Below are 11312 nucleotides of genomic sequence, written 5' to 3'. Positions count from 1 at the left end.
ATTCTAAATCAGGTATTTTTTCCAAGGAGCCCAACTGTTAGTTTCCCAAGCGGGACAGCTGTTGGTTTTCACTGTGTCCAAGTTCGTCAATTTAGAGCAGGCTCTGCCTGCTTGCTGAGTAAGATATTCCTGGACATGTGTTATTTTTCAAGTGTGCCCTCTTTTTACAGGCACAGATGTATTTATTGCCATGGGGTTTATGACTGGGATATTAATAAATCAGAATATGAATTATCGCACTTGAGTATGGCTTCAAGCTGGTTAATGTGTTGGCATTTTCAAGACACTTTGATTTTTCCTGCCGTCTTCCTACTCGAGGTAGATACCGCACTGCAGACAGCACAGGCAACCTGGTGAGAGGCCTGCTCGCATTGTGGGGACTTCACGCTTGTTTCTAAGGAGTAGGCGTGGATAATCCAGGAAATGTCCAGCCTTGTTCTATCTTGTTCCAGATTCAACATCTTATCCCAATGAAGTCCTGGCCCCAGGACGCTCTCCCGGTTTGGAATAGCTGTTACAGGCTTCTTCATTCCTGCGGCGGCTCATTTCCCTATTTGGTTTTGTCCTCACTTCCGAAAAGTGAATAGGATCATCTCCTTTCTGATTTTTATTTCTCTTCTTGCCATCCATCTCTTCATCTTGTTAACTAAAAGATGACACAATCTATACATTTAGAAGAGGAGACATTCTTTCTTTTTCTTTTCTTTTTTTTTGAGATGGAGTTTCATTCTCGTCGCCCAGGCTGGAGTGGAGGGGTGTGATCTTGGCTCACTGCAACCTCTGCCTCCTGGGTTCAAGCGATTCTCCTGCCTCAGCCTCCCGAGTAGCTGGGATTACAGGCGTGCACCACCACACCCGGCTAATTTTTTTTGTATTTTCAGTGGAGATGGGGTTTCACCATGTTGCCAGGCTGGTCTCGAACTCCTGACCTTGGGTGATCCATCCGCCTGGGCCTCCCAAAGTGTTGGGATTACAGGTGTGAGCCACCATGCCCACCTAAAGACATTATTTCTTGTAAAGAGTTACACTCTGCAAGGTGGCATCCCGCAGGCTGGGAAGCACAGCCTCCCGCAGAGACCGCAGACAGGCATCTTGGAGGAGAAGGGGCAGGAGCTTTATGCTGAATGGGCTGGAGGATCATACATATTCAACAGGTTACAGGAGGAGCTGTGAATATTCATGAAGTGGTCCTGACGCATGTGTATTGAACAAACATCCACTTACATACAACCCATGTTCACCTTGGAGAGGAGACTTAACATCTACGTGCATCCCAGGCAGGCTCTGCACTTCTAAAGGTGAAACAGGGACATGAAGGCTCCCAGTGCTCAGCCTCTATCAGCCGGCCAGAGCCCATCCATGGGCTTATTCTTGTCCAGAGGAAGTTACTGAAATCGGTCTCTTGTTCCATCAAAGCTGTAGTTACGGCTGGTGGAACAGGGCCAGTTAGCCAGCATCGGGTGGTGGATAAACTACGACTTGTTTTCATCTTGCTCATCTCAAGGCCAACGCTGGTTTAGCTGCTGGAGAAGAAAACCTTGGTGGTGGTGAGGACAGAGTTTCTTATTTAGGTTCAGGGTGCGAGACTTCGCTGTAGCCTGGCCAGGCCTTAGGTCCTGTGTGTGATTTGTGTCTTATTGCCACAGTCTGTTCTCTGGTCTCACCATCTCTATTTTAACATGAATGCTGGCCAGTTGTGTCTAAATCCCAAAAGGGAGGGGGTATAGTGGGGTGTGTCTGACCTCCCGTCCATCGTGCCTGGGAACTCATTTTTTTTTTTTTTTTTTTTTTTGAGACGGAGTCTCGCTCTGTCACCCAGGCTGGAGTGTAGTGGCGCGATCTTGGCTCACTGCAAGCTCCACCTCCCAGGTTCACGCCATTCTCCTGCCTCAGCCTCCCGAGTAGCTGGGATTACAGGCGTCTGCCACCACGCCCGGCTAATTTTTTGTATTTTTATTAGAGACGGGGTTTCACTGTGTTGGACAGGTTGGTCTCGATCTCCTGACCTCATTATCTGCCCGCCTTGGCCTCCCAAAGTGCTGGGATTACAGGCTTGAGCCACTGCGCCCCGGCTGGGAACTCGTTTTTTAAGGTTGGCCAACGGGTTCCATTCAGTCAGTTGGGGGGCTCAAGATTTTACTTTAAATTTGCGATCCTTATCATTCAAGTGTAGAAGGAAGAATGGAGAGCCCGGTGAGACGCTCCGCTGGCCTCTGAGCAGCGACTGTCAGCAGATGCCCCTCCTTAGCCAGGGCCCCAGTGATGGTCTCTGTGTGTGAGCTGATTAAAAATGACGATAAAGAGGCCTCCGCTATCAGCTCATGACCCTGAACTCTCCATTTTAAAAAAGCCTAAATTGACCTCTTACAGAAGGGAAGGACGAAGAGAGACTCACTCCTCATCGGACTGGAACTAGGTGGAAGCAGGGAGGAGCTAGGCTCACAGTGACTGCGTAGCTCAGTTTATTTCCTGCAGTCCCCATTTCTGACATTCTGTCCTCTGGCCGTATATGTACAGACCACATATTCTAATGTTTGATTAGAAAATATAGCTACTAAATTCAATTCTTGCATCAAAATTGTATTTTAAAATATAAGCATGTTTAATACTGGTCTACAGAATGAGCTGGTTGCTTTGTTTGTACACAGAGCTCACATTAAGCCTCACGTCCAATCGTGGCTTCCGTCCACTGTGATGGGCGGATTCTTCCTAGGGGCCTCCCCTGGCCGTCTCTCACTGTGAACGCCACCCCTGTCTCCCGCCCACACCACTGCAACCTGCCTTACAAACTCCCCCGCTCTCCTTCCAGCCCAGCACAAGCTCAGGACGCCAGACGTCCACACTGCCCAAGCTGCTGTGGTTCACCCAAGACTTTGGAGGAAATATTCCTTCTTAAATTTGTGTCAATAAGCCAGACAGCTTTCCAGCTCCTTAGAAGTAGTTATCCTGTGGAGTGTGGACTTCATTCTTTACCTCCTTAAATTAAGATGAAATTTAGAAAGGCAAACCGGGCTGCAGTGGGCACCTGACTGCACAGAGTGGCTGCTGATTTGCTGATTTGCAGGAGATTAAACCCAATCCGAGATGGAGGGGGTCTCATTTCTGCGCTTACATCGTCATGCATGTGGTTGGACTTGTGTGCATGCGTGTGGACCTGCGTGCCTGTGTGTGCACGTGTGCTTCTGCGAGCTCTTCAGAGAGCCTGTAGAGGCTGGTGGTTACGAACTGAGGGATGTAAATGAGCCACTGTGGGCTCCATGACCTTTCTTTCCCTGCCTGTCCCCCAAGGAGGGGCGTGTGAGGTAACCACTGCAGACGTTTTCCTGCGTGTCCACAAGGAGATCGTCTGGTTCTATTGATGGAGGTGTTTTCCCTAGTTCTGTGGTGAAGTTGGCAGCTTCAGACATTTTGTTCTCATGACGCAGCTCTGACAACTAAGATGGGCTCCCCTGCCTCGGCCGGGCTCCTCGGTTTCCCGAGAGTGAGGCCTCTGTTGGTCGATCGTGTTACCGGGTGGCTGTGAGTTACGCAACTCACGAAAACATCTCATCCGGATGGGCATGGGGCGGGAGGGTGACCCCAGGAGCTATGAGTAACTTCCCAGCATGCCGGCTTCTTGCGCGTTCCCAGAGCCTGGTGTGTGATACCCCAGGTGGGCGGGTGGATGGCTGGAGTCTGGTTCTAGTCACACAGACCAAGAATGCGACATTTAGATGTGATCTAAAAACAGCCATTTTTCCAAAAGCTGTTTACTTTGGAAAGTGTATCAGGCAGCAGTTTCTGGAGACCTGTAATCGTTTTATGATTTATGCAGTGAAAACCTAATTACAAAAAGGACGGGCGCGGTGGCTTACGCCTGTAATCCCAGCACTTCAGGAGGCCGAGGCAGGAGGATCACTTGAGGAGTTTGAGACCAGCCTGGCTAACATGGTGAAACGCCATCTCTACTAAAAATACAAAAATTAGCCGAGCAGGGTGGTAGGCACCTGTGGTCCCAGATACTGAGGTGCTGAGGTGGGAGGATCACTTGAGCCCGAGAGGCATGACAGGTGTGTACAGGGGCTGAGCGGCAGGTACTTTCTGAATCTCAAGGGAAGACCTGCAGCCCGTGGGCACTTCACGGGCCATGGATGGAGCGCCTGTTGTCAGCGGCGTGGGAGAACTCTAGGGATGGGGCTGTGCTGAGGCCAGCGGCCTGCAGGTGCACGGCCAGTGAGCTGGGCTCTTTCCAGCAACACCTTCAGGAGACTCTGGTGGTTTCTTTTCTCCCTCATTCTCTGACAAAGAAGACGCTGGGATGCGCCATGCATCCCACATCTGAGAAATGCTTGCCTCCTGTGTGCTGGACACTGGGCCAGGCGCTGGCGAAGGGATAGGGTGGTGGAGCCAGTTTATCCTGAAAGTCCCTTTGCACACATCTCTTATTACATGTGTGTTGAGACCGAAAATAAAGTCTGGAACCAGGGTGTCACAGATGAGGGTCACAGACACACAGCAGATATAGCATGGTGCTCCCAGCAGAGATGGAGCTCCCAGCAAAGATGCAGGAGAGCATGTACAGTCCCTGGACTCAGCCTATGTGCAGCAAGAAATTCATTAGGGGATCTCTGGCCCCGGGTGCCACCTGGGAGCATGTGTGTGCAGGGCCACCTGGCCAGCGAGGGCCCTAGGATGGCCTGACCCGTCAGGGATGCTGACAGCAGGGCTGGCTCAGTCACCGAAAGGGGAAACAAAGGCTCTCCGGGGCCTCCCTGGGGCTTGCACCATCCTGAGGTCTTCAGACCCCCTTGGAGACGGAAGGGAGGTGGCCGAGTGGCCTGTGGCGTGGGGCTCCTTTGCTGTTCCTTGCAACTTGGGGGTCTCTGACTCTTGGAGCTGGGTGACAGGTGGGGATTTTTGCTCCTCTAATGGTCTTTGGATGATAAACTCCCAACTGACGCTCCAGGCTGGTGTCTTTACAATGCATGCTCTGAGGAAAGCTAGTCTGTGAAGCCATGCATTGAAAGGGTTCTATTATGGGTTGGGAGTCTGAGTCCCTCTTGGGGAGAGCCGTCGTGCAGGGAGCAGCTGGAGGCCTCGGGGCTGTGCTTAGCTTTGCTTCCCCAGCTTTGCTGACCCCAGTGAGCTCTTTCCCACGTGGTACCTGTCAGCAGTGCAACGGGAAGTTCTGTGTGTGTTAAACCACACAGGGGGTTCAGAGCTATCCCCAGGGCAGACCTGGAGTTTTTTCTGGTGTTCCTTAAAAGCATCTGATGAATATTGGGATGAATTTCCTGAAGAACTTGGAGGAGACTTTCTCCTTTCTGAAAATTAAACGTTCAGATCAGCACATGATAGGAATCTGGGTGGTGGAGGAGAAGATGTGGGTCAGTCTCCCCAGTGCCCCAAATCCAGTGAAATGACAACAATTTTTTAAAAAATTAAGTGTGTTGTTTTAAAAAATACAACCACAAGTTTCTGACGATCTCCCTCAATTTATCCTCCCCTTCAGCATGGTCTCTGTTGGTCACTTGTTTCTAATGAGTAGGAAGCGGCTGAGGTGGCTGTGGGTGGCCTCTGTTGGCATGTAGTTTCCTGCTTGCTCTCAGACATTGCGCTCTGGGGAAGCTGGCTGCCACGTCCGCAGGACACTTGTGCAGCTCTCTGGGGAGGTCTGAGGCCTCTGCCAGCAGTGCTGCTGGCTCGGGGTGTGTGGAAGCAGGTCCTCCAGCCCCCGTTGAGCCTTCAGATGATGCAGCCCCAGCCGTCACCTTGAGGGCAACCTCAGGAGAGCCCCACACCACCCAGCTAACCCGGAGACTGCAGGCGAGAATGTATGTTCCTGTCATAAGGCACAAGTTTCAGAGCAGTGTTGTTACATGGCGTAGGTAACTGGTGCCTAAGTGTGACTCCCTAACCACAGTGCTCACCTCCACTCAAGAAACTGCTGACGGTGGATCAGACATCTTGACAAAGAGAAACCAATGGAACAGACATCTGAGAAATAGGAGAAGAGCTGTCCTAGTCAGGCAACGTCCGGCCTCGGAGTGGATGGGGAAGGATGGAGGCAGACAGGTGGGATCGCAGTGGGGGGTGCATTCTGTCCCCGCTCCCCAGGCTGTGCGGACCCACAGGGCAGAGGCTGCCGGCCTGCTGTTCCCTCCTGCACAGTGCCTGGGGCGCCAGGCTCATGGGGTGCTCTCAGTGGAGAGGTTAGAGGGACTAGGAAGGAAGACCTCTTGTCCCAGGCAACCTGCAGAGGCCGGGAGCCCTGGGGGGAGGTCCTGGGAGGAGCCCTGGGGGGAGGTCCTGGGAGGAGCCCTGAGGGAGGCTCTGGCCCTGCATCTGCCTGGAGCTTTGCCCAGGATTGCCGTTCTCGTCTTCCCAGGATTCCGACTCTGTGCTTCGAAATGTCGTTACACGATCTCTTCTGTTGTCTTAGTTGGGGCTCTTTTTGTTACAAGTGACAGAAGCCCAATGTGAAGGAGCCTGTGCCTGGGGGTGCCTGCCCTGGGGGATCAGGGACCAAGCCACGTCTGCTCACGGTGGGACACAGTGTAGACACAGTGTTGACGTCTTAAAGCCTTACTTCTCATTCCATTACGCAGAGGAGTGACTTCAGCTGCCAGCCCTGGTCCCCAAGGCTCCAGGAGAGGTTCTGTGGGACTAGACCCAGGTCAGCGGCTCTGACAGGGACAGGATCGCGCAGCGCAGACATGGCCGTCGGCTGAAGGGCCTCCTGTGGTGCGCAGGCCACTGCCGGCTCATGTCCAGGTCATCTCTCCCGCGCTGCAAATCCTGCTTGCCCAAAGTAAAAATGGAGCGTGTAAAGTTAGCACGGTGGACATTTGTGCACTTATGGGACAGAGGAGGCTTGAACTTCATTCCGAGGGGAAAGAAGCCAGCCCTGGCTTTCTTACTCTGTTAGATAACCCTGTCTCTCTAGGTTTCAAAAATATCTTCATCCCATCGCAAGTGACCAGGAGGGACTTCTGGGCCTCACCCAACTCACTACCGCAGTGAGTCGCTAGTACTGGTAAGATGACCTGTGGGTTGGGTCAAGGGCTCCCGGAGTCCTCTGCCTGCTATGATGCGTGAAGTTCTTCCATTCACCATGTCTCTCAGTGAAACTCGGTCCCACAAGCCCCTCCGGGAGAGCTGGTTTTGTCCCCTGAGTGCCGAGATGCATAAGAAAGTGGCTGGTGGGTTCCTCAGGACGCCACAGTCCAGTGAGGAGAGCAGAGGGTGCAGCAGCCCTTACGGCCGGGTGAGGGGTACGGGGGCTCCAGGCAGGCACAGCTGCTGAGAGAGAGGGGTCGGGGCAGTCGTCACCATCAAGTGGATGGCTGAGGCAGGACGTCCCTGCGGGCTGATTGTCCCTGGTCCTGACCAGATTTGCTGTGACCACCTGGCTGGGCCCTGAAGAGGGCAGAGGAATTGCTCAGGTGGGGCCAGGGCACAGGGCTGAGGCCTGCAGTCGGGCCGTGCCAGGTTGCAGATAACATCCGGGGCACCCCTGAGCAGGCGGCTCTTCTGAATCGCTCTGTGTTTTGCTCTCTGTTTTCTGCCTTGGGAAGTGATTATTTTTCAAAACATTCTCTTAAACGTGGCGGGGGCAGGGCACTAGAAGCATCCAGGCATGAAGACAGCCCCCAGGTCAGCAGGGCTGGGGAAGCTGGGCTGGGCGGGGGCTGGAGGACAGGAGGCTGTGCTCCTATCACGGTCTGTCCCTGGCGTGAGCAGTGCAGGTGTGACAGTTCTGGGGTGGAGCTTACTTTTCAACTGAAACCACTTTCCCATGGACGTGCTTGCCTGCCTGCCTTTATTATTATAGTTTAATGTGTTTCATTGTCCATGTTAAAAATGCTTGTGTTTATTTTGCACCAACTGTTCAAAAAAACCCACCCATTCTAAAATCCAAATAGGATTTCATCTGAGTTATAAACCCACCCATTCTAAAATCCAAATAGGATTTCATCTGAGTTATAAACCCACCCATTCTAAAATCCAAATAGGATTTCATCTGAGTTATAAATACAACAGCCTGGCAAAGGGCAAGTCAATGGAATCAATACGATCTGCCCTAGCGTCCGCGTATTTTCCAGCCTGCTCCATTGCTAATCACTCCTGAAGCCTCCTTGGTGCCCCGGCTTTATTGATTGCCTCTGCAGAAGAATGTGTGTGTGTGGGGTCCCCAAGGACACAAGGACGCCACTGGCAGGGCCAGAGACAGAGGCATGCTCTCCAGAGGCCTGTCCTGCTGCTGCTGCTGCTGAGCAGGACTTTGGGCCAGCGGCCACCCATGATGACATTGAAGCTGGCCCCAGAGATCCCAGGATAGAGGCCCCAGGGCAGCACTGCCTGCTCCACCTCCACAGAGAAACATCCCTGTGAGCTTGGGGTGTGGAGAAGACGAGGGAGGAGCCCTCCGTGGATGCCTTGGGCTTGGAGGTGTCTGCATGGATGAAGGCTCAGATGGAATCACCCCAGTTCTGCTGCTGCAGTAGCTGTGTGGCCGTGGGCAGGTTCTTCAAGCTGTGCCTCAGTCTCCCTGTCTGTAAAGGGGGACATCATGTACCCTTGGAGCAGGGTTGAGGTGAGGAGTCCACCAGAGCCTGTCTGTGAGGTGGAGGGGCTCGAATAACGTCCACTAAAAGTTCATGTCTGCTCGGAACCTCGGAATGTGACCTTTTTGGAAATGGTCTTTGCAGATGTAATTAAATAGGGGTTTGAGATGGAATCATCCTGGACTAGGGTGGGCCCTAGCTCCAAAGACTGTTGTCTCTGCAGGAACAGAAGACAGAGACACTGGAGGAGGCCACATAAACACAAAGGCAGAGACTGGGGCCATGTGGCCGAAAGCCAGGAGCACCGAGGACTGCCATGGCCACCACGGAGAGAGGCCTGGGACAGACGCCACTGCAGAGCCTCCAGAGAATGCAGCCAGCCTGCAGCTCGCGTGCAGCCTTCCAGCCCCCTGAACTGTGAGAAGATGCAGTTCTATTTTAAGCTGCTCTGTTTGGGCACCTTGTTACAGCAGCCCCAGGAAGCTACTCAGTGGGCGTTTGTGGTTGGCCGCTGAGCATTCCCAAGGTCACGGCCCCATCCTAAGCCCTGGGACCTGTGCACGTGACCTGTTTTGGAAAAAGGGCTTTTGCAGATGTAATTAGCTTAAGGATCTTGAGATGAGAAGATTATTCTGGATTACCGTGGGCCCCAAATACCATCTTAAGTGGCTCCGCAAAAGATTTGGCACACGGAGGAGGCTGTGTGACCAGAGGAGAGACCGGAGTGATGTGGCCACAAGCCAAGGGCACCGGGAGCCCCCAGAGGCCGGAAGAGGAGAGGAAGGAGCCTCTCTAGGAATGGCCTGCTGACGGCAGCCTCCAGAATGGGGAGGGAATCAAGTCTGTGCTCTCATACTTAGGAGTGTCTTACGGCAGCCTCAGGAAACAGACGCAGTTTCCCATTCACAGCCTGGCCTCTGTCCCCATCTGGGGGTTTCCCCACAGCCTGGCCTCTCCCTGTTGCCCAGGCTCTCCCCATAGCCAGGTCTCTCCCCATATCCTGGCGTGTCCCTGCAGTCTGGCTTCTCCCCACAGCCTGGTGTCTTCCCATAGCTTGGAGCCTTCTCACAGCCTGGAGTCTCCCCTGCATCCTGGGGTCTCCCTGCAGTCTGGCTTCTCCCCATATCCTGGGGTCTCCCTGCAGCCTGGGGCCTTCTCATATGCTGGGGTCTTCCCGCATCCTGGGGTCTCCCATATCCTGGGGTCTCCCTGCAGCCTGGGGCCTTCTCACAGCCTGGGGTCTCCCCACATCCTGGGGTCTCCCCGCATCCTGGGGTCTCCCCATATCCTGGGGTTTCCCCGCATCCTGGGGTCTCCCCATATCCTGGGGTTTCCCCGCATCCTGGGGTCTCCCTGCAGTCTACCCATGGTGCCAGGGCAGCTCTTCCTCCTGACATGTGTGGGGGGCCCTGGGGTGCAGAGAATAAACTCCACCCATCGGATGTGAATTCCAGCAGCCCTGAGGGTGGGTGAGTTTCCTGGAGCAGTGGGCGAGGGTTCAGGGATGCAGTTCGCTGACTGTCCAGCTCAGCACGCCCAGGGAGCTGGCAGGGTTCCCTGACCCCGGGAAGCAGGTGGAGGCTGAGACAAAGGCCAAGCCAGCTGGAGGCTTTAGGGAGACGCACTGGGTCCACTCCACAGGCAGCAGGACCCCAGGCTCACTGTGGGCATTTGAGGAGTGGGTGTCAGGGTGACCAGAAGGAGCCAGGGTGGAGGTCGCAGGGTGTCATCTCGGTGGGCAGAGCCTCGGGGCCCTGGGGTGGAGGGAGTGAGGCTGGAGAGCCTGGCTGGCTGTGCTGGACGCCTAACACGGTCCCGGAGATGGCACTTCTCCCACGGACGAGGGTGGGCGACGCGGGAACAGACTGCCCGTAATCGGGTTCCAGGTCCAATAAAGGTAAACCTCGAGGTGGAAAGGACCTAGACGCAGGTGAACACGGTCCTCCGTGTGTGAGTGCATGTGTGTGTTGTATGTGTAAGCGTGTGGCCATGTGTGTGGTGCTGGAGCCCAAAGCCTATCCACGGCAGCCCATTGGTGGGTCCGGCCCTGCCTGTGGATTCAGCTCTCCACTGCAAAGCAATATGCAGTGTGTGAAACGGCAACACAGATCGTGGCACCACCATGAGCCTCACTGTTAGATTTGGATTGGAATCCCTCCCTCTCTCCCGCTTTAAACTGTGGGTCCTTGGAAAAGTTACCTGACGTTTCTGATTTTCACATTCTTACCTGTAAACCCTCCCAGAGTTGAAATGAGCCGTGTGGGAATGGGGGTGGGGATGGGGAGGCGCGCAGTCACCCTCGCCTTCCTTTTCTTCTCTCGGTAATTGTGTTCTTCTATGTCAAAGGAAAAGAATAAAACTGGAAAATTATTTGGGGGAAAAAGAAAAAGACACACATGCAAGTGCCACAGGAACCTGCTGGGGGAGAGATGCTCTGTGGCCTTTGGTAAGTCAGCCTTCAGCCTAGCAGTTGTAGGACCCTCCGTGGTTCTGGATCCGCATCAACTAGAATTCTATGTTCCAGGGAAAACTGCTTTCAATGCTGACTTACACTTAACACTGTAAGGCCATGGAGCAGAGTAAACATCCCGTCCCATCATGCCCCACGCCCTCCGGAACACCCCGTCCCATCATGCCCCACACCCACTGAAACTTCCCGTCCCATCATGCCCCACGTCCTCTGAAACATCCCATCCCATGCCCCACGCCCTCCGGAGAGTGAGGGCTGCAGGGCCAGTATCTGCCTAGCCCGTGGCAACCTCAGCC

This window comes from Homo sapiens, chromosome 2 (assembly GCF_000001405.40).
Source record: "Homo sapiens chromosome 2, GRCh38.p14 Primary Assembly".
Classification (NCBI taxonomy): domain Eukaryota; kingdom Metazoa; phylum Chordata; class Mammalia; order Primates; family Hominidae; genus Homo; species Homo sapiens.
The sequence above is the reverse complement of the archived record's forward strand: the minus strand, read 5'-3'. Positions refer to the sequence as shown.